Source organism: Homo sapiens, chromosome 5 (genome assembly GCF_000001405.40).
Source record: "Homo sapiens chromosome 5, GRCh38.p14 Primary Assembly".
NCBI classification, from domain to species: Eukaryota; Metazoa; Chordata; class Mammalia; order Primates; family Hominidae; genus Homo; species Homo sapiens.
The window spans coordinates 35,055,044-35,079,316 of NC_000005.10; the positions used below are offsets into that span (position 1 = coordinate 35,055,044).

At 39.5% G+C, this 24,273-nt stretch overlaps 1 protein-coding gene across 13 annotated transcripts in view; it reads right to left on the reverse strand.

The window, feature by feature from the left end:
• The window catches only part of PRLR (prolactin receptor), a 181,732-nt gene that overhangs the window by 6,288 nt on the left and 151,171 nt on the right, over positions 1 to 24,273 (reverse strand). For 7 of the 13 annotated variants that reach the window (XM_024446131.2, NM_000949.7, XM_047417388.1 and 4 more), the window contains 5 exons: positions 17,532 to 17,701; positions 15,081 to 15,222; positions 13,736 to 13,835; positions 13,173 to 13,242; positions 659 to 11,059 (listed from right to left, as the gene is read on the reverse strand). In XM_024446131.2, the coding sequence (XP_024301899.1) occupies positions 10,046 to 11,059; positions 13,173 to 13,242; positions 13,736 to 13,835; positions 15,081 to 15,222; positions 17,532 to 17,701 (1,496 nt within the window). In that variant the 3' untranslated portion in view covers positions 659 to 10,045. Of the gene's footprint in view, positions 1 to 653; positions 11,060 to 13,172; positions 13,243 to 13,735; positions 13,836 to 15,080; positions 15,223 to 17,531; positions 17,702 to 24,273 lie in introns of those variants that run through there. The other 6 variants (NR_037910.1, NM_001204317.1, NM_001204315.1 and 3 more) reach the window with 5 other exon arrangements.

A 24,273-nucleotide genomic window follows, 5' to 3' on the forward strand; every position in this document is an offset into this window, starting at 1 on the left:
GCCTTTGTTATGTTTTTCTATATATGTTCAAGTATTTGTGAAATATTTTATGCAATAAATAAAAGATCACAAATGGATGATGAACTCACAGCTGGTTTTAAGTAAAGACTGAATAATTCCAGTCAGGAAAACACGAACAAAAGAAAATGTGAAACTTTGGTCCTGAGATTTGTGGCTTGTTAAATGAAAGTTGATCATATCTCAGGTTTGGAAACATGGGAAAGTTGATCGAATCTCAGGTTTGGAAACTCTCCTTTTGATTGTTCTTTGTTGTTCCCAGGAGAAGTTCCAAGAAACTTCTGGGTGCTTCCAAGCATGCTTGCATTTTTAAGGCTCGAGTCTGGCAGATGAATAAAGACTGGGGAAATGTGTGTTCAGTTTTGATTTAGAATTAGTAGGAAAATAAACTCAGAGGTGTTCAAAGATGAGCACAAAAATTTCTGCCTGAAAAAAATGCCATGGGTGAGTGTCCTAAGATAAATGTTTTCGCATATGTCTGCATACTTTATTTCCGGAGTTAAAATGCAGTTCCCCCTCCTTCTTTAAAAAAATCTATTCTAATAAATTTTGTTGTGGCAAAGAAAAAAAACTTGTTTCAAGTTAAATTTTTCATGTAATGCATGTTTCACATACATATATAAAGACCCTCCAAAAACCATTGCTCAGGTAATAATTTATTAAGTCAATTTAAACTAAACATTACTACCATTGCAAAAGCATTTGCTCTGAAAAGGGACTGAAAAATGCATCATAAAGTTACATAGTTCAGCAACAATATCAATATTGATTATATAAAGTAAAACTACTGGCAAACGTCATTTAAGCTTACCCTGTAATTTTTAATAACTTTATAAGGAGCAAATGTGTCACCTTAAAAATGTACCAGTGGCATTTACAAATTCCTTCAAACTCATTTACAAATACAGTAATAAAAATTCCTGAGCTCCCTTTTCTTACACCAGTATTCACCAATCAACATCCATGCGGTGTTTTATTTGACCCACATCCTCTTTCCTTTTCTTAAGAAAATATTTTATCACATTCGTAAAAGTATCTGTGCTTCAAGTCAGTTTGTAAGTATCTGTTTTTAATGTGAACCTGATGATAACAAGAGAAAAATGCTTAACATTAGCAGGGGCAGCAGGAATTGAGGGGTGGTGTGGGGGACAGTGGAGGAGATGTAAATACAAGAATTCCAGTTTAGGTGTTGGGACTTCCAAGGTAGAATACATCTGACAATATCAAAAACAGACTCAGTTTCATCTGCATAGTTTCGAGGGACTTTCAAAGGTGAAGCCAGCAGGAATTACTCTGCATATTCTGGCCAGGAAGGTCCCTGGTGGGGGCTTTTCAATAATTCTATTTCTTATCCTTCTCCCTAGTCCCCCCACTGCTCCCTTACCCCAAGATTTCAAAGTTTCTATTAAATGGAAGTTGCATCTTCCAGCCCCAAAGAAACTGGGGAGATTTAGAATGTATAAAACTTGATTAGCAAGTTGTAGGAAACCTGACAAAGTTAAGGTGTCAGATGGGATTCTGGCAAGATGTGGCAATATTTAATTTCTGTTTTCTTTCCGGAAAGTATATTCAATGCTTTTGAAAAATTAGCTACATATTACTTCTCCAGCTCATCATTAATTGTATAGAACCTGTGTCTGGTGACTGAGACTTCAAATTTTGCACCTTAAAAATATAAGAGGGCCCAAGAATTAAAGGCAGTTGGCTTCAATATAAGCACAGGAGAGCCAGCGTTTCTGTGACTGAAGCCAAGTTTTTTAGAGCATGATACTCAAGTAAGAAAGAAATTTCTCATTCTTCTGTAAGACATGGAATTAGAGAATTAAGAGGAGGCAGAGAAGAACTTGGAAAGCAAAACCACACACCATTTCACAATTCTGGAACACGGACATGAACAGTAAGTGAAACTTTCTAGGTTTAGATCCATTAAAAGATTATCCATTTACACTTCATCTGATGGATTTTGTCAGAAAAGATGTTGTTAATAATATGGATAAATAATAACTGTTCAAAAGGATTCCCCACTTAAAAAAATGCTTTGGTTCTTCCTTTATTTCACAATATTTAAATAAGCTTCTCTTATTGGATCTCCTTGTATCTGGTTCCATCTCCCCTCATTTTTCTCAGCCTCCCATGTTATAGGGATGAGGTAAAGGAGGGAAATTTTGTCTTGCAATCATAGGAAGGGTGGACATAAAGGGGAAGAATTTTTTTTGTCCAACTTACATAAACAATGTCCTGATTATAGATCTTTTGGTAACAAGAAATGTCCAAAAAATTGCTTCAGCCATGAATGTGTTATTTTGCTCATCTCCATTTCAAATAAAAAAATAGAGCAAGAGTAGGTAAGGGAATTAAACATTTATTAAGCCAGGCACTGAGCTGGGTATTTTCAATAATGATGTGAATAGAAATATAACTAACATATTATATTGGGATGTCTAAGATTTTGTTTGGCAGGCATTGGTTTTGGCATGCAGTAAAAATGAAGATGTTATGATAATAGCAGTTAGTGTTATCTCCAATACTATTGACAAAGATTTAACTACCCATGTTGTCCCCTCAAAATAGGAGGAGATAAATGAATAAAACCATGGAAAACAGAGAGCACAATGTGCCATAAGCAAAGATTTACAGAATGAAAAATGCAAAATAACAAATCAGATAACTATAGTCTTCTATAAATCTTTAAGTCTAAAAAAATAGACATTACAATAACTACATATAGAAATGAGTTTTTAAAATCAAAATAAGATAATTTCTGGTAAATGGCTGACTTTTCCCATATCATACTATGTTTGATGACTAAAATCAAATAAGGAAAAGGGTTATTTCTAGGGGGGTTACAGAAGTCAATTTGTAAGAGATATCATTATCATGGCTTTGGACAACTATGAGGTGACTTATAGTTAGGAAAAAATCTGCACTCTATGGTTTTGTTGGTTTTTCATATGATGACTTACTAAGTATTCTTTCTGAATCTTTCTTGCAGCCGGTTTTTATAAAATATAAACATGTAAGAATGGTTATTCAGAAACTCTTGCATAACCCTACAAAGTGATGAATTAGAAGGTGTTAAAAAAAAAACCCAGCAACTTAATTATAAAACAATTACTTCTAATTTCTCACTTAGTGTTGGGGAATTTTGCTTGGCATTTTCTAGGGAAAGAGGAAAAGCAGAGGTAGTGGTAGCTTTGAAAATGTGGAACCTTATGCTATTATGTATAACTTCACTTCAATATGGCTTTACAGAAGACACAGTCACCCAACAGGCTGGTTCTAGATTGCTTTGGTTTCCACATGAGACTTTTCAATTGTTTAAAATGAACGATGAAGCACAAAATCCAGCCTCATTATGCAAAGAACACTTGAGAAGTGTCAGCAGTCACATGAAACAAAGCCGAGAGGCTGACTTTCAAACAACTGTTGGATTGTACTTTAAATGTGTAACACCCCAGAGCAGCTGTACAATGAATGACATAGAATCTTTCTTCTAGACAAAGATTAGGAAAAAATTAGTACATTCACGCTTTCAACAGAAATACATTACATATTTTTTCAGTTTTGTTTTACAGTCATAGACACAATCATATTGAAACTACATATGGATAAATTGTAAGTTATTAAGTAATGATTTTCATTTGTATTACATGATGAGTTTCACAACATGAGGATTACATATTTCAATATGGCATATACTATTTTTGAACCACATAAAGCAATATAGTACAAAATAATGTAACAGTTACTGTAAAGTCAGTAATGCCACTTGGCAAATACATCAAATATGCCACCGAAAACCAGTCAAAGCATGAGACATGACATCTTTCATTTCTAAACTATAAGCAGCTTTGAAGGAAGGACATTAGGACACAAAAGGGAGGTAGTTACTTTAAAAAATTCAAAATTAGCTTTTCAGGAATTTCATAAAACAAATTATTTTTCAGCGGTATCTTCGCCATATAGTTTTTCAGATAACGTGGAAAAAAGATTTTTCCCCCAGGATTTGTGAAGTGTGCACAAAAAAACTCAGACTACATTTTGAGGTTTATCCAAGTGAAGCGTAATTTGACCATAACTATTAAAGGTTATTTTTTATATTACTACTTCAGTTGCTGAAGGTTTTAGGGTTTTTTTCTTTTTAATCAGCAGCAAGCAGAATGTTAATTAATAGTCTAAGATGATCTGAGAGTTAATTAATAGACTAAGATTATCTGTGGTCTATTTATTGACCACACCTTATAAACAGGATAGGTTTTTCCTATTTTGAGACTTTACATGTCTCAGTACTTTCTAAATTGAAATCAGAGCATTAAATCAAGGGAATTGATGTGGACAAAACAGCTGCCAGCATGATAGTGTTTGTGAATTATGTACCTCTCTTAGACATAAACTCTTAGACATAAACTCATAAAATCTGTTCAGAACACTGAACAGATTTAGATTTACCATAGCCAATAAAATTTGGATTTAGTGGGTTAGTCTCAGCATTTCATGGAATCCTGAGATGCCCAAATCTCTGGAAACTTCCTATTTCCTGTTTTACTATCTTTTTCCTTTTATCAAAATGGGTGCCATGAGGGTCCCAGACCAAAACTCACCATCCTGAAAAACAAAAGTCTGGGGAGAGAACTCCTGTTTTATTTTCAGATGATATATTTGCTAATCATAGAATAAGTTCAGATCATAATTATAAATAGGATTTCTCTGAAGCAATCAATCTGTATTTTTAAAGCTTCTCCTTCAGACCTCCAGTATCTAGTCATCGAAGTAACTTGGGTTTATTTATTGAGACAAGGTCTTGCTCTCTCACCCAGGCTGGAGTGCAGTGACACAATCACGGTTCACTGCAGCCTCGACCTCCTGGGCTCAAGCAATCCTCTGGCTTCACCTTCCCAAGTGTCTAGGACTACAGGTACGTGTCACCATGGCTGGCTAATTTTTAAAATTTTTGTAGAGACTGGGTCTTACTATGTTGCGTAGGCTGGGCATGGATTTATTAATGGCTTTTGAATTAACTAAATAATTAATGAACATGGGCTTAATCTCTAAGTATGCAAATCTCTAAATGGGATATACTTGTGATCTTCAACTTGGCCTTGGATATCTGTGTGACTGATTTAACCTTTGACTCAGTCTTTTGCAGTGCCAAAGTCATTGTTGATGAATAATTTCATTTCTTGTGGATCCTATGGTTGCTACTAACTCTTAGGAAAATAGTAGGCTCTGGAGAAGGAGTAAAAACCCTACAAATATGTAAAGCCAGGAAGGAAAAGGAGAAGCAAGGATGTTAAATCAATCTGAGTTGGAGGAACAGATCTCTGTTTTTCTCTGAAGCGTTGTCACACAATCTCATGTGCTCACTGCTTCAGGCCAAGGGTGTGTCAGCAAGGCTTTCTTGCACTGCACCAGGGACACTGACCTGAAACCCTGGATTTTACCTAGATCATGAGAGGTCTTAGAAACCTTTTAGGCCAACCTACTTATTTAACAAGTAAGGAACCTGATGGCCAGAGTTTAAAAGACTCATCCCAGGACATAGTGCCTACTTAGTCGTGGTGATGTGATTTAGTCTTGGACATTGAGTGCTCAGTCACTGTCTCAGTGACAGCATTATTGTGCTTGAGCCAAAAAGGAAGAAAAGGAAATTTGTTCACTCAAGAACACATGAGACTTTCGTCAATGGCACATCTACGTTAGCAATGCTTGGGATGGTAATTCAAAGTCATTTATATTTTTCTGTTTGTGTACAAAGTTCCAATGTGCATGCATTGTTCTCTTCAGGTTTAGGCATGTAAGCCAATGACATTCAAAAATGTATCAATAAGTTTTGGTATGGAGAGTCTCAAATCACAGGGTGGCAGGTTTATCCCCAAATCACAGCCAGCCTCAATTTCTTATCAGGCAAAGTAAGTCACACTATTCACAACAGCTCTGTGTTGATTCAATTAAACAATACGTAAACATTCACTGAACATTGCTGGTTGGCCCTTAGACCATTTTGTTGTGCCCTTTCTGGCTTCTTCTCATCTCTCCATTCATACATATCTATATCTATATCTATATATATATATAATCCCTATAAGGCAAATGTTACTTTCTAATCAATACATTTTTCCTTGCAAAATGAAAACTTTAAAAAAAAATAGAGGAAGGCACTTTGTAAAATGTGCACAAATCTGTTTCTTTCTTGTCTACTCTAAGGAGATAGGGAAGTTGCTAAAGGCAGGGCCAAGTCTTTCTGCAAATGATGGGCAGTGGTGGACACTTGAGGAAAGAGAAAGCCAGAGTTTCCCCAGAGCTAAACTGCAACTTGGAATGCAGGGACCTCTGGTTGCTCAATAACTCATAGGCTTTTCACATTCAGCTGGGTCATCACAAGACACAGAGCAAAACTGCCCAGATCTTGTACAGGCAGTAAAGGATTGACCCCTTCAGACCAAGCCAGTTAAAGTGAGTCTTTTGTACTTAAGTGACTACCAGGATTGGTCTTAGGCACTTAGGAAAATGTAGAGTCTGTTATATAGCTAATAAATGTAGGATCTGTTAAATATCTGACACAGCTGATATAACTTGTGCTTATACACATCTGTTAGAATGAATTGGAACATCTTGCTGTTCAGGTTGTAAGCTACACAAATCACCCGTTGCCTAGATTCAGTTTCCATGCGCCTTAAAACTTGAATATTTAGGTATTTGTTTATAAAAATACAACTTATTATAACTCAGAGTGTAAGGATACATGAGCCAACTGTGCAATGGTTGTTAACAATCTAGGATGGTGCAAGGAAAAAAATTAACAGCCAAATATAAGAAAAGAGATTTGGGGCTGTTGGATTCAGCAAGGAATGAGCATGGCTTGATTCAGTAAAAGATCATTTTTCTAAAGATTAGTGCCTCATTCAATATGTCTCTTCTCAATCTCCTGCCTCTTTTTTTAAATGCCTCTTTCTACACATATATTTGCACATAATCTTAGAATATGATTCTGTACACATTTCACTTATAAAATACTTGTGCAATATATTAAGACCAACTGGAATGGACGGTTTAAAAAGCAAAGTATAAAGAGCACATCACTGAAGATTACTTTGTATTTCTATGATGAAGAGCAATTTTTTGTTAGATTAGGATAGAAGGCATTGGTTGGGATTATCTTTGCAGAAAAATATTCAGTGAGTCATGGAATCAAGGAGTCAGTTTCAAAGGACCTTAGAGGTTATCTGGTCCAACATCTTCAGAGGAAACTGAGGCTTAGAGGGGGGAATTAATCTCTCCAAGGCAAAGCAGTTAGGACCAGAATCTAGGTCTCTTCACCGCCCCCCTGCCCCACATGTATCCTTCCATTTGAACAGCTGTCTCCTTGATAGACCACAAAAAAACTTTTTGTTAGACCACAAAAAAGCTTAATTCAGATAAACAGTGCTAATTGATCATAGAATTAAAGTCTTGGCCTAATGAGTGGCTAATTGTTTTTTAGGGATTTAATTCAAGTCCTTAGCTGTCACATTTTTTCATACGTATTATACAAAATTATATGTCAAAAGCAGATTACTTTTATGTTTAGGTTTTCAGACTATAAGAGTGACTGATACATATCTTCTCTATTCTTAGAGAATAGACTATGTTAGGAAAGATTTAGTCTGCATTGGCTTTGAGGGTGACTGTCTTTGGTTAATGTCTCTCAAGGTAGATTATATTCCTTGGCCTTTCAGAAGTTGTGCGTAGTTTTGCAGGTCATTCTTTTATGTGAATTCATATAAGATTCAGCATAATGTGAATCTTAAACTACTGATATGTTTCTTTTTTTGCCTGCTTACATGCAGTGTTGTTCATTGCAAGTCAAACAGACTTGATCTGTCCTTTCCAAAAGAGGATTGTTACTATGAACTAAAATAACCTTTAGTGGAAATGGTTGTCTAGAACAATGCTTCTCAAACTTCAGTGTGCAATTGAATCATTTGGGGATCTTAGTAAAATGCAGATTCTGATGCTTAAGATTCTGCAAATGGAATTTTCAAACACTGCCCAGGTGATGCCTATGCAGTTGGTTCTCAGACAGTTAAAGTATCGAGGATTTAGGGGACTGAATGAGCTTGGACAACTTTCCCACACGCTTCCCTTACTCACATGATATTGTTTATATATTAGAAAAATGGAGCTTCGTATCTATTGCTTTTGCCATTCTCAAAACATTGGCAATGTGTTCACTTTCAAACAGGAGGGGGACCTCTGAGTCCAGTTGCTATCAATATGGGATAGTTGGGGTGGAATATTTAACTCCCAGAGGTGAGCTCAAGTTCTCTATGTCCAGCTAGTAAATGGACATATAGAATGGATTTACCATCAAGTGAAGGGAAAAATAGAGAGGGGCTGCTAGATGAGTCATGGATGCGCCCTTTAAAATGAGGATCCAAGCTTTGACTTCTTTCAGGAAGCCTGGCACTGGAATTGACCGGGAGATTCTCATTACCTTACTCTGACCTTTGGAGCTATTCCCATTGCTCTGGGAAGCAAATACCTAGTTTCCCAGAACTTTTATTTGGACACTTCTGATATGAGCCATTTCTGCCTCTGCCAAGATTTTGCAATTGAATTTACTTCAGAGAGACACTAACTCCTGGCTTTGCTTAAAATTTTTTTGTGGCCCAAGATTTCTCACAAAAGCAAAACCTCTCTCTTTTAAACAGCTGTTAGAAATCGTCGCCCTCCCTTTTTATGGTAGCTTTAGGAAGATTCACCCATTGATGAACAGGAGTCCCAGAGGAGCCTGAAACTCAAAGGAGAAATAATTTCTGGTCTGTGGAGAATCCTAAATCCCTAGGTTGGTGGTGGTGGTAGCAGTTGTTTAAAGTGTCCTGGAGATCAAAAGAATCAGATAAACTATACTATATTGCGTTGAAAACTGAATTTTGTCATTCACTTCATATTTCACAGTGGGCTTTGGGTTGGTATGGCATTTTACTCCACAAACGGGAACTTTATATACTACTATGTACTGTAAATACACATTATAACCTTGCAGCAGAAAATACTGTACCCACTGAATACATAAACAGCTGTACTGGGAAAATAGAAAATAGTCTTTTATTTTACCTAAGTCATAGAAAAATAGTCTTCAAAAATACAGTTAAACTTATGGGTTTATATTAAAGTAGAATTTGTATGTACAGTAAGGCAGTAATTCCATTAGCATCCTGCTGTGGTTTTCTTTTCAAGTTAGTCTTTAGGGAATTTTTTTTTAACTAAGGAAAGACTAAGGTGTATAATAAATTATCTATCATGCTGAAATGAAGGAGGAAAACATCCTAAAGGGATTCACATGAAATTCATTTGCCCCTTGTGTAAGAACATTTTTATTTCCAAACTATATTTTATAGAAGCTTTAGAGTAGAATTTAGGGGGAAAATCCATGCTTAACATATCTAAACTATTTTAAGAAAAAATTGGAGGCATTATTTCTTACTTGCATATCAGCAATGTGTCAGTAAGGTATAGGAACTTATGTAAACAATTTGTTCTGGAATGCATTCTTTCTTTAAATGGTTATATTTGGGTAATCCTAATAAAATGGACGAGGAGTGTAAAGGTTATGCAGTTGTTTTTCAAAAGCAATTTTCATGGCATTTTCCTATGTGGAAAATTTTCTTTTGTCATCTTTCTATGGTAAACAATTTTGACAATTTCATTTCCGTCTGTCCCATGCCAAATCATGAAAGCCTTTTCCAGAGGATATACCTATTGGCATTGTCCCTCAAGAATACTAAGCAGTGTGCTTTTATTTCATTGAACACATAGTTTTATAACTAACAGCAAAAAGTAAATCTACAAATCACAGTTAGGAAACATAATGATTTGTTCTGGAATCAGCTGCTGGAGAAAGAGGCAAGTGGTTAAAAATGGAGCATGAAAGGAGCTGGGAGCTTTAGTAGTGTCAGTCTGACTACATTCTTGAGCATTTCACGTACTCTGTAGTGTTACCTGAAGAAAAATCACATTTTAACCAATCATTCCATTAGTCAAGCTATCAGTGAAAGGAGTGTGTAAAACATGCGGGATCCAGGTAATCCAAACCACCCAGCTGGAGCCTGCACTTGCTTGATGTTGCAGTGAAGTTGGCCAGGGCTTTCTCAGCTTGATTCTGTTCAAGTGATGGTGGGGCCTCTTTGGCTGATTCTTCAAAGCAAGCCACGTTTTTAGCATGTGGATCTGGCACCAACACCAGGATGTTGTTATCCATGACCCCGGACACCTTGGCATACTCCTTATTGTTCTCAGGAGTCCCGGGCTTCTTGGGCTTGCCGCTGTTCTCTCTCTGTTTTGGTAGCAATGATAATGCACCATCTTTGTTGACCTTGTGAATCTCCACATAATCCAAGGGTTTAGCGGAGCCAAAGGGGGTTTTCTCCTGGGGCAGCAGCCAGGGCGTATCCTGGTCAGTCTCAGAATGGAAGCTTTCTACCTCCCTCTGCTGGGTTGCCTTTCCCTCTTCTCTAGACTTAATGGTTTGAGAGGATTTTAAAGCATCTTTACCTGCTTCATTCAACAGAGTGGCCGGTGCACCTGCAGGGCCCACAGCCAGCTCACACACATCAGTAATATTGTGGTAAGAGGATCTGGGGTTGTGCTGGCTGGGCTGTGGTAAGGGCCATGTTGAACATTTGGATCCACCAGCATGAAAATAGGGGATTTTGCCTTCCATGCTTATGCACTGGGGGTCCCAGGTGTGGGTTGTTTCAGGATTCTCTGGCTTCTCAATGACCTCAGGATCATAGAATGTGGAGGGATTGGCCTGGGGTTCCTCACACTTTTCAGACAAAAGGGAAGGGCTGTCACAGCTCCCCCGGCCTGAGTCAGTGTCAGGATCCAGGTATGTGGGTTTCATACCTTGACTTGGGTGTTCTTTTGAATGGACTGACATTAGATGCTGGTCCTCACTATCATCTACTTCTAAATACTCCACCAGCAAGTCCTCATAGTCAGAAGTGGGAGGAAAGTCTTGGCATCCCAAGGCACTCAGTAGTTCTTCAGACTTGCCCTTCTATTAAAACACAGACACAAGAAGAGATGGCTGTTAGCTTCATAACATTCCAAATCAGCATCCCTGCTAAGTGGTGCTGTTCATTGCCACAAGCAGGTGGGAAGATCTCAAACTTCAGACATTTGTGTGCCAGGCCATCTAGAATCACCTTCTGGATACTATTCAGCAGATTTTTTTTTTTAAAGTCAACTCAGGATATTTAACGTAGTCTCTCTCCAAGCAATAATAATCATGAGTTTAATGGGCAAGTAGTATATACACATACAATAATAAACAGATAACTATAAAATGAAGGTTTGTGAAACTTCTAAACCCACAGTGCTTATGCATGCATCTGACACTGCGGCCCACTGGCAGAGGTGTGGTTGCTGGCCTGCTAACTTCCTCTATCACTTTCTAGAGTCTGGCAATAGTAAGTGGATTCTTGTCTTTTCCTTCTGTGGTTCATCTTCCTTCTCTCCTTCCTCTTCTTATTTCCCCTTCCCTTCTCCTCCCTCTTCCTAATCTACTGTTTTCTTCTACTCTACTTCCTCTCCCTCCTTCTCTTCTCCCCCTTCATCACCCTATTCCATATTTCCGCCCTTCCTATTATTCTCCCTGCTTCTATCCTTCCTTTCCCCCTCCTATTTCCTCCTGCCTCCTCCTCTCACTCTTGCCTCTTTTTTTTTTTTTTTTTTTTGAGACGGAGTCTCGCTCTGTTGCCCAGGCTGGAGTGCAGTGGCATGATCTCGGATCACTGCAAGCTCCGCCTCCCGGGTTCACGCCATTCTCCTGCCTCAGCCTCCCGAGTAGCTGGGACAACAGGCGCCCACCACCACGCCTGGCTAATTTTTTACATTTTTAGTAGAGACAGGGTTTCACCATGTTAGCCAGGATGGTCTTGATCTCCTGACCTCGTGATCTGCCCGCCTCTGCCTTCCAAAGTGCTGGGATTACAGGCGTGAGCCACCGCGCCCGGCCTCTTTTTTCTTATCCTCTGACTTGGGTCAGGTACTGACCTAGGTCTTGGCTTTATCACTTATTATAGGGTATGTGACTTTGGACAAGCTGCTCTCTGAACTTCAGCTTCTCCATTTTTAAAAGGTAGAAAATAATATTAATACTACCCATCTGGGAGGGTTCTTTTGAGGATTAGAGGTAATATCATTAAGAATACTAACACATATTTTTGAGACAAAAGTAGCTATTTTATCGTTAAGTCTCTGTGGCTAGCAGGTTAAATTGTGAGCTGGACAGTAACTAGTTTAGTTTGCTGAGACATTCATGCTGGTTCTATCAGGCCAATGCTACACTGGATAGTGGAGGAAGAGCACTGGGTCAGGAGCTGGGACTCCTGGGCTCTAGTCCCTGCTTCGATATTTGCAACCAAAGTGAACACAGACAAGCCAGATTATCCAGGACTCAATTCTTCTATTCTTACACTGTCAGACCCAGAGCAGCTGGGTCAAGTATTTGCCTTAATGTACAGCTAGTTGCTTTTATATATGTCAGTGTTAAGCTTAAAAGCCAAACTGAAACTATTTATTTCAATTTGGAGAAAAATTTAAAACTGTTCTAACCTCTCTTTTCATTCAAAACACTCATTATTTAATTCCCTCTTGAATCAGCCCAAATGGGTCCTGGCAAACAGATGGCCCCACAGTACTGATCTGGTCTCAGCTGAGTGCCCAAAGTGAGAGATAATGGCAATGGGATATTCTGTTACTATGGCTTTATGTAAAGAACATTCAAGTAGAAGCTTTTACCAATGTATGATTGAGGGGGTGGTGGTGGGTCCCTGTTTTGCATTAATCAAAATATTCACTCTCTTTCTAAATTGATTATTTGTATAAAATGTTTATCTCTATGCTTATGAGTAGATCTGATAAATCAATAAATGTGTTTCCATGTTTTCTTGGCTTTCTCTCCTTGCCCTCTGACATTTAGTGTGTGAAAGTAAGTACCCTCATCCTTCACACAACTTTCTGTTAACACACATGCTGACCAGGAGAGACAGTCCAAAAAGGCTGGCTGAAACTACCAGGCTGAACTGACGGGGACTGTGTGTGAGTGTGTAGAGTTAATTACTACAGAGCAGTGAGTCACACTCCATTTTTTTGCCTCCTGTACTTACCTCCAACAGATGAGCATCAAATCCTTTTATTTTTGGCCCAGGAACTGGCGGAAAGATGCAGGTCACCATGCTATAAAATAATTCATGAGATTGGCTAAATGACTCATTTCTGACTTTGTAATTTTTGAAAGGTTAGTATAATAGCCACTATAGGGACTGTGATAGAGATAGGACTTGGTTTGGCAGCTCCATGAAACAATCAATGATGAAAATAAAATTACAGAGGCCTATATTAAAATTAACTTTAGCTAATTAAGGAGGCTGATTTTGAAGTTAGTGGATTATCTGGACTATTTGCTTCTCTTGATTTTAGCTACTCTTGCCAGATTTTTACTGTTTCACAACTAGGAATCTCTGTTTCATAGAAAGAACATCAGCCTGAAACGAGTCAATTTTTCTACTTTTTATAGCACTGATAAAAGATTTTTTTTATGGGCAAACACACTACATCTAATGGCTAAAATGAGGATTATCTACAGGTTTCCATCATCTTTGTATTTTTTTTTTTGTCATTATCCTTGACTATCATGATTGGGAGGAAAAGTTGAGAGACAGTGAAGTACCTATAGCCCTTCAAAGCCACTGCCCAGACAATAATCAAACAGATGACAGCAGAAAGGACAGCCACAGAGATCCACACGGTTGTATCATTCATGGTGAAGTCTAAAAAACAAACAGCCAGAAAGCTTTGATCACGTACAGCATCATTAAAAACAAACCAACCTAATGAATGAAACTCTTAAACCCAAGAGTGTTTTCCTCCATTCATATATTTTTTTGATTTGAACAGCAATCCAAAGTATCATCAATGACAGGGCTATTCTCTTTTAAATATTATTAATATGTTAATATGTTGCGTATATTTTATAGTACTCTAAAAATTTAAAAATCCTTTCATTATTCTTTTTAATTGATCCTTAAAGAGGAAATCCAAGGTCACATGGTCGTTTGCAGTAATAATAATAAAAGCTAACATTAAGTTCTTACTAAAAGCCATCAATGGTGTTAAACTCTTTGCCTACATTGCTTTGTTATAAAAGATAAGAAAACTGGGAATCAAAGAAAGATTTACCAATGGCCACATAACTATAGTGTTGCAGGCTGGGATTTGAACTCAGGCTTTCTGCCTCTAGACCCTGTGCTTTTGTTAAGCAAGAGTCAGGAGTGGACTAGATGCCTGCCTGATTTGCAGTTCAGTGCCCTTTCCAGCATGCCAAGCCAATGAAAGCCCGATACTTTGGTCAGGCAAGTTGTTAGAAAAGCTAGACTTTCCTGTGTGGTTTTGGAAAAGACTCCTAACTTTGCTGAGGTTTGGTTTCTTCACTTTTAATTTTTAATGATAATCATATTCTCTGAATACCTGGGAGGGTTGGGAGGACCAAATAAGGTACAGGCTTTGTAAGCTGTAAAGCATTTTAAAAATGCAAGATGGATTGTTCCCTTATAGAACACAAGCTACTGAATTAAGGTGCTTTGCTGGAGCTGTCTATCTTATATCCTGTGTCTTCACTAAGAGACAAGGTGCCAAGTGTAATCCATGGCAGAGACTGAGCCTTTGAGACACGGTACTGCCTTATAAATTCTGGAAGAACTAGAGGATGACCTTGACCAAATCCTCTAAATGATGGGAATAGGGAAGATGGTGGGAGCATAATAACTGCTCATCAAGCCCCTTGGGGCATCAGACCCATGTCTGTAGCCTTATCCTAAAATTGTTCTCCATTGACAGTAATCCAGGGTGCAATGCTGCTTTTCAAAATGTCTTCGTATTGGGCAGAAAGATTATAAACCCACCTCTATTGTTCTGGCTAAGGCTCAAAATGGTTTCTCTATTAGTAGTTATTATATGCAAATATACCATTTAAAACATATTTAGGGACATAAGCAAAAAAGAGCCAAGACGCTCACCACTAGGTATCTGAATGAAGGTCGCTGGACTCCATGCACTCCAGTATCCATGGTCTGGTTTGCAGCGAACCTGGACAAGGTATTTCTGTCCTGGATGTAGGCTGAGAATCTTAAACTCTGTTTGCTGCCCAGCAAAATGGATCTAAGGTAGAATAAGGAAAACAGAAGTCAATTCTAACATTTGTTGTGAAGAAAGAGAGTTTTCCCCTAAAAAATAAACTAAGTTAGGCTGAACAATCATATACAGAGAATTCCCTGCTGTCACTACTCCACTGTCTTAGCCCTATCTTTTCCTTCTCTTAAAATTGCTCACACAAAAATTTAGCAGGTTTTCTATCTCTCCATTTGGGACTCTACTTCAGAAAAGTCAAATATTCTGCCTCCTTCCCACTTTATGAAAAACAACTACTTAATAAATGTAGAAAGAATAACAAAATTGGCCAGGCATGGTGCCTCATGCCTGTAATCCCAGCACTTTGGGAGGCCGAAGCAGGCGTATCACCTGAGGTTGGGAGTTCGAGATCAGCCTGACCAACATGGAGAAACCCTGTCTCTACTAAAAATACAAAATTAGCCAGGCATGGTGGCACATGCCTGTAATCCCAGCTACTTGGGAAGGTGAGGAAGGAGAATCGCTTGAACCTGGGAGGCGGATGTTTCAGTGAGCCGAGATCGTGCCATTGCACTCCAGCTGAGTGACAAAGCGAAACTCCGTCTCAAAAAAAAAAAAAAAAAAAAAAGAATAACAAAATTAAAGAATTGTTAGCCTTTAAACCCTAATGAAATAACTGATTCAATAATAAATTGGTGTTAAAAACATGAGGTGAAAGAGAATTGGGCATTCATGTATGGTAAAGTAGTAGTATACAAATTAAACATGACCTTACAATCAAGGGATCAGTTTGTCATCTCCTCAATTCAGGGGCCAGTTTTAGCATCACTTATGGTGGGTCAACCAGATAGTTTTTGACATCTGATTAAATACAATATAGAGTACATAATATCACCTCTGAATTTACCAATTCTTGGTAAAAATTGTTCAACCTACATCTAATCAAGTCTGGTTACAGGAAATGGAGGCGTAGAGAAATTAGCTAAATAACCCCACAAAGAACTGATCAGAGAAAGGTACAAGGTGGGATACTCTATGGGACAAGTGGCCCAGTCTCCTCATTACACTGAAACTGAAGGATATAACGACCAGTTACAATGTGTGGTCTACGAGCAGATTCTGGTTTGGACAAAGTAGCTGTTAAAGATATTCGGAAACATTGGGAGGAATTAAACTAGGGACTGGGTATTAAACGATATTAAGGAATTTTAATTTTCCTATGTGTGATCCTATTATTTTGGCTATGTTTGGAAATGTGCCTTTTTAAAAGAGGCATATACTAAAGTATGTAAAGATGGAATATTGTACCACCTGCAATTTAATATTATTTCTTTAGGTCAAAGTATTTTATTTTATTTTTATTTTTATTTATTTATTTTTTGAGACGGAGTCGCTCTTGTCACCTAGGCTGGAGCACAATGGCATGACCTCAGCCCACTGAAATCTCTGCCTCCCAGGTTTAAGCAATTCTCCTGCCTCAGCCTTCAGAGTAGCTGGGATCACAGGCACTCACCACCATGCCTGGCTAAGTTTTTTGTATCTTCAGTAGAGACTGGGTTTTGCCATGTTGGTCAGGCTGGTCTCAAACTCCTGACCTCAAGTGATCCACCTGCTTCTGCCTCCCAAAGTGCTGGGATTACAAGTGTGAGCCCCTGAGCCCAGCCTTTTTTTTTTTTCCAAATGGAGTTTCATTCTTGTTGCCCAGGCTGGAGTGCAATGGCGCGATTTCAGCTCACTGAAACCTCCGCCTCCTGGGTTCAAGAGATTCTCCTGCTTCAGCCTCCCGAGGAGCTGGGATTACAGGTGCCCGCCACCACACCTGGCTAATTTTTTTGTACTTTTAGTAGAGATGGGGTTTCTTCCTGTTGGCCAGGCTTGTCTTGAACTCCTGACCTCAGGTGATCCACCTGTCTCGGCCTCCCAAAGTGCTGGGATTAACAGGTGTGATCCACTGCACCCAGCCTGGTTGAGGTATTTTAAAGTAAATAAAAACACAGCCATTGACTATGGACGGGATATACTGAGACTGCCCCCTCCCACCTTGTGCCATTTAAGTACTCTTACAAGGGTCTAGATCTAAAATGTACTAAGGGAGGCAGGTTGGAAACCTGGTCAAGTGTCTGAGCAGTACAAGAAACTAGCCCGAGGAGAGCTGTGAAGATGAGCCCCCATCAATCCCAATAGAGGGGAAAAGGGCTTTTCACATCTGGGTGGGTCACAACTGCATTGGAGGCCAACACAGTGACCCAGTAATTAGGAGGAATGACCTGTTTTCAGTTGTGAGGGCTTTATCCTTGCCAAAGGCCATAGTTCCTTCAAAAAGCATATGGATCACTCACCTCCCACTCAGCTGCTTTCTCGGGTTTTAATCGAATTTCATACAGGAGCGTGAACCAACCAGTTTTTAAGTCAATCAGGGTAGGTGGAGACCATTTAATCCACAGGTAGGGTTTTCTGTCTTCTGGCTGTTTTACTTCCACAGCCAGCTCCAAAGGAGGGTCTGGCTGAACTGCAGAAATACAGCAAATGCCAGTAGCACTCATTGCTTGCACCTTTTCTTTGGCTTTACCATTTTCTATTAGGAATTCCTTTTTCTGTTTATCATCTCACTCTTCCCACTGTACTATAAGCCCCCCAAATACCCGGGCCTTTTGTCTTCTACCTCTTAGTATGTGACCAATCATATTTGTGCATACAGATGAGGTTTACATGGTAAGAATAATAAGCAGCTGGTATTTCATTCTCCGCATGTTCTCGCTTTTCATCAGTTAGAATCTCATAGCTATCCCCATAATTTTCATGATGACAGAGACCAGGTGATAAAAACTGGGCTGGGATTTGCAAGTGGGAGTTGGCATGGAAGACTATAGGGAAAGAGATTTCAAACAGCTTATTTCCCTCAGCTGGGCATGAGATTCTCCTTAGTTACACACAGTTTTTTGTAAATGAACTATTCATAATCATAACTCTGCAGATAACAGGTTTACAGATTCCATCTTCGTTTCAGCAATTACATCTTATATTCAACATACATATTACACCCTGTGGTAAATGAGATCCACTCTCCCATAAGCTAAATGGAGGTTGAGCTTTTTGGCAATGATCCTTTTGGTGATTTCATAACAGCCTGTTGGCCCAGTCACTCATTCAACAAATGCTTAGCGAATTCCCATTAGCAAAATGACAGCTAATGTTTCTCGAGTATTTACTACATGCCAGGGACTGTATAAAATACTATCTCTGCATCGTTTCTTATAATCCTCCAGCAACTCCATGAAGTACTATTATTGTACCCATTCATTTTACAGAGGAGGAAACAGGCTTAGAAGAGGGAAATTACTCGCCTAAGGTCACATATTTGGTAAAAGTGTTATTTGAACCCATAACTATGTGACTTAGAGGAAGTGGTCTCTACTATTTCACTCTACCATGGTTGTAAGACATTGCGTTTGATGTCAGGTGCTGGAGAGCAGGCCTGGGATTAGGCTGACGTGAGTGAAGTGCATAGGATACAAAATTCAAGGAGGGACAAATGGCCAAGAAGCACATGAAAAGATGCTCAAGGTCATTAGCCTTCTGGGGAATGCAAATCAAAACCACAGTGAGATACCATTTCACATGTACTAGCATGGCAAGAATTAAAAAATGAAACATAACAAGTGTTGGTGAGGATGTGGAGAGATTGGAACCCTCAATACTGCTGGTAGGAATGTAAACTGGTGCAACCACTGTGGAAAACAGTCTGGAAGTTCCTCAAAAAGTCAAACTTAGAGTTGCCATATTGCCCATCAATTCCACTCCTAGATATAGATTCAAAAGAATTGAAAACAGATGTTTAAGAAAATCTTGTATGTGAATTTTCATGGCAGCACTATTTATAATAGCCAAAAGTGAAGAAATCCAAATGTCCATCAGTTGATGAATGGATAAAAAATGTGGTAGAGGCCAGGCACAGTGGCTTATGCCTGTAATCCTACCATTTTGGGAGGCTGAGGCAGGTGGATCACCTGAGGTCAGGAGTTTGAGACCAGCCTGGCCAATGTGGTAAAACCCCATCGCTACTAAAAATACAAAAAATTTGCCAGGCGTGGTGGTGTGCACCTGTAGTTCCAGCTACTTGGGAGGCTGAGGCAGGAGAATCACTGGAATCTGGGAGGCAGAGGTTGCAGTGAGCTGAGATCGCACCATTGCACTCCAGCCTGGGTGACAAGAGCGAAACTCCATTTCAAAAAAAAAAATGTGGAACAGCTACATATTTTTTATGATTCCATATATATATATATATATATATGAAATATCCAGACGAGGCAAACTCCCAGAAACAGACAGTCATTGCCAGGGCTTGAGGAAGGGAGAAATGAGAAGTAACTGCTTAGTAGTGGATGTGAAGTTTTCATTGAGGGAGGTAAACGTGTTACAGAACTAGATAGTGGTGATGGTTGCATAAAATTGTAATAAACTAATGCATTCAATTGCATACTATAAAATAGTTGAAATGGTGGATATGTGTTTTGTGTTTTTGCCACAATAAAAACAAATGAAGTGGCTTCCTGCTGGCAAGAATTAAAAAAAAAATGAAGGAGGCATTTACTTCTGTAGGCTCCTGTAGGTACAGGCCTTGTGAGTACCTTCCTAAGACTTAGGTGCTGGGGTGCTGGCTTGCCTCATCCCAGTCTCAGTTCTGCTGTTCAGTGACATTTTCTCCATTCATTTATCACCTCCTTAAATCAATCTCTGTACCAGATGGGGAAAGAGTGACTGTAACTATAGTGTACTTGGCATTATGAGTTACATTTGCCTAAAAACCAACTTTTAAAAATTTGCCATCCGTGGTCTGGTTCCAAGATGGCTGAATAGGAACAGCTCCAGTCTACAGCTCCCAGCGTGAGCAACACAGAAGACGGGTGATTTCTGCATTTCCAACTGAGGTACCAGGTTCATCTCACTGGGGCTTGTTGGACAGTGGGTGCAGTCCATGGAGCGTGAGGCGAAGCAGGGCAGGTCATTGTCTCACCCGGGAAGTGCAAGGGGTCAGGGAATTCCCTTTACTAGCCAAGGGAAGCCATGACAGATGGTACCTGGAAAATTGGGACACTACCACTGTAATACTGCGCTTTTCCAACAGTCTTAGCAAATGGCATACCAGGAGATTATATCCCATTCCTGGCTCAGAGGGTCCCAAGCCCATGGAGCCTTGCTCACTGCTAGCACAGCAGTCTGAGATCAAACTGCAAGGTGGCAGTGAGGCTGGGGGAGGGGTGTCTGCCATTCCTGAGGCTTGAGATTGTAAACAAAGTGGCCAGGAAGCTGGAACTGGGTGGAGCCCACCCCAGCTCAAGGAGGCCGGCCTGCCTCTGTGGACTCCACCTCTGGGGCCAGAGAATAGCTGAACAAAAGGTAGCAGAAACTTCTGCAGACTTAAACGTCCCTGTCTGATAGCTCTGAAGAGAGTAGTGGTTCTCCCAGCACAGAGTTTGAGATCTGAGAACGGACAGACTGCCTCCTCAAGTGGGTCCCTGACCCCCGAGTAGCCTAACTAGGAGACACTTCCCAGTAGGGGCCGACTGACACCTCATACACCCAGGTGCCCCTCTGAGATGAAGCTTCCAGAGGAAGGATCAGGCAGCAACATTTGCTGTTCTGCAATATTTGCTGTTCTGCAGCCTCTGCTGGTGATACCCAGGCAAACAGGGTCTGGAGTGGACCTCCAACAAACTCCAACAGACCTGCAGCTGAGGGTCCTGACTGTTAGAAGGAAAACTAACTAACAGAAAGGACATCCACACTAAAACCCCATCTGTACGTCACCATCATCAAAGACCAAAGGTAGATAAAACCACAAAGATGGGGAGAAACCAGAGCAGAAAAGCTGAACATTTTAAAAATCAGAGCACCTCTTCTCCTCCAAAGGAATGCAGTTCCTCGCCAGCAACGAAACAAAGCTGGACGGAGAATGACTTTGACGAGCTGAGAGAAGAAGGCTTCAGACGATTGGTAATAACAAACTTCTCTGAGCTAAAGGAGGATGTTTGAACCCATCACAAAGAAGCTAAAAACCTCAAAAAAGATTAGACAAATGGCTAACTAGAATAAACAGCATAGAGAAGACCTTAAATGACCTGATAAAGCTGAAAACCATGGCACGAGAACTATGTGATGCATGCACAAGCATCAGTAGCCGATTTGTTCAAGTGGAAGAAAGGGTATCAGTGATTGAAGATAAAATGAATGAAATGAAGTGAGAAGAGAAGTTTAGAGAAAAAAGAGTAAAAAGAAATGAACAAGGCCTCCAAGATATACGGGACTATGTGAAAAGACCAAATCGACATCTGATTGGTGTACCTGAAAGTGACAGGGAGAATGGAACCAAGTTGGAAAACACTCTGCAGGATATTATCCAGGAGTACTTCTCCAACCTAGAAAGGCAAGCCAACATTCAAATTCAGGAAATACAGAGAATGCCACAAAGGTACTCCTCGAGAAGAGCAACTCCAAGACACGTAATTGTCAGATTCACCAAAGTTAAAATAAAGGAAAAAACATTAAGGGCAGCCAGAGAGAAAGGTCAGGCTACCCACAAAGGGAAGCCCATCAGACTAACAGTGGATCTCTTGGCAGAAACTCTAAAACCCAGAAGAGAGTGGGGGCCAATATTCAACATTCTCAAAGAAAAGAATTTTCAACCCAGAATTTCATATCCAGCCAAACTAAGCTTCATAAGTGAAGGAGAAATAAAATACTTTACAGACAAGCAAATGCTGAGAGATTTTGTCACTACCAGGCCTGCCTTACAAGAGCTCCTGAAGGAAGCACTAAACATGGAAAGGAACAACCGGTACCAGCCACTGCAAAAACATGCCAAATTGCAAAGACCATCAATGCTAGGAAGAAACTGCATCAACTAATGAGCAAAATAACCAGCTAATATCATAATGACAGGATCAAATTCACACAAAACAACATTAATCTTAAATGTAAATGGGCTAAATGCTCCAATTAAAAGACACAGACTGGCAAATTGGATAAAGAGTTAAGACCCATCAGTGTGCTGTATTCAGGAGACCCATTTCCCATGCAGAGACACACATAGGCTCAAAATAAAGGAATGGAGGAAGATCTACCAAGCAAATGGAAAACAAAACAAAACAAAAAAGCAGGGGTTGCAATCCTACTCTCTGAGGAAACAGACTTGAAACCAACAAAGATCAAAAGAGACAAAGAAGGCCATTACATAATGGTAAAGGGATCAATTCAACAGGAAGTGCTAACTATCCTAAATATGTTTGCACCCAATACAGGAGCACCCAGATTCATAAAGCAAGTCCTTAGAGACCTACAAAGAGACTTAGACTCCCACACAATAATAATGGGAGACTTTAACACCCCACTGTCAACATTAGACAGATCGACGACACAGAAAGTTAACAAGGATATCCAGGACTTGAACTCAGCTCTGCACCAAGCGGACCTAATAGACATCTACAGAACTCTCCACCCTAAATCAACAGAATATACATTCTTCCCAGCACCACATCACATGTATTCCAAAGCAGACCACATAGTTGGAAGGAAAGCACTCCTCAGCAAATGTAAAAGGACAGAAATTATAACAAACTATCTCTCAGACCACAGTGCAATCAAACTACAACTCAGGATTAAGAAACTCACTCAAAACTGCTCAACTACATGGAAACTGAACAACCTGCTCCTGAATCACTACTGGGTACATAATGAAATGAAGGCAGAAAGAAAGATGTTCTTTGAAACCAATGAGAACAAAGACACAACATACCAGAATCTCTGGGACACATTTAAAGCAGTGTGTAGAGGGAAATTTATAGCACTAAATGCCCACAAGAGAAAGCAGGGAAGATCTAAAATCGACACCCTAACATCACAATTAGAAGAACTAGAGAAGCAAGAGCAAACACATTCAAAAGCTAGCAGAAGGCAAGAAATAACTAAGATCAGAGAAGAACTGAAGGTGATAGAGACACAAAAAACCTTCAAAAAAATCAGTGAATCCAGGAGCGGTTTTTTGAAAAGATCAACAAAATTAATAGACCACTAGCAAGACTAATAAAGAAGAAAAGAAAGAAAAATGAAATACATGCAATAAAAAATGATAAAGGGGATATCACCACCAATCCCACAGAAATAGAAACTACCATCAGAGAATACTATAAACACCTCTATGCAAATAAACTAGAAAATCTAGAAGAAATGGATAAATTCCTGGACGCGTACACCCTCCCAAGACTAAACCAGGAAGAAGTTGAATCTCTGAATAGACCAATAACAGGCTCTGAAATTGAGGCAATAATTAATAGCCTACCAACCAAAAAAAAAAAGTCCAGGACCAGACGGATTCACAGCCGAATTCTACCAGACGTACAAAGAGGAGCTGGTACCATTCCTTCTGAAACTATTCCAATCAATAGAAAAAGAGGGAATCCTCCCTAACTCATTTCGTGAGGCCAGCATCATCCTGATACCAAAGCCTGGCAGAGACACAACCAAAAAAGAGAACTTTAGACCAATATCCCTGATGAACATTGATGCAAGAATCCTCAGTAAAATACTGGCAAACCGAATCCAGCAGCAAATCAAAAAGCTTATCCACCATGATCAAGTAGGCTTCATCCCTGGGATGCAAGGCTGGTTCAACATATGCAAATCAATAAATGTAATCCATCATAGAAACAGAACCAAAGACAAAAACCACATGATTATCTCAATAGATGCAGAAAAGGCCTTTGACAAAATTCAACAGCCTTCATGCTAAAAACTCTCAATAAACTAGGTATTGATGGGATGTATCTCAAAATAATAAGAGCTATTTATGACAAACCCACAGCCAATATCATACTGAATGGGCAAAAACAGGAAGCATTCCCTTTGAAAACTGTCACAAGACAGGGATGCCATCTCTCACCGCTCCTATTCAACATAGTGTTGGAAGTTCTGGCCAGGGCAATCAGGCAGGAGAAAGAAATAAAGGGTATTCAATTAGGAAAAGAGGAAGTCAAATTGTCCCTGTTTGCAGATGACATGATTGTACGTTTAGAAAACCCCATCATC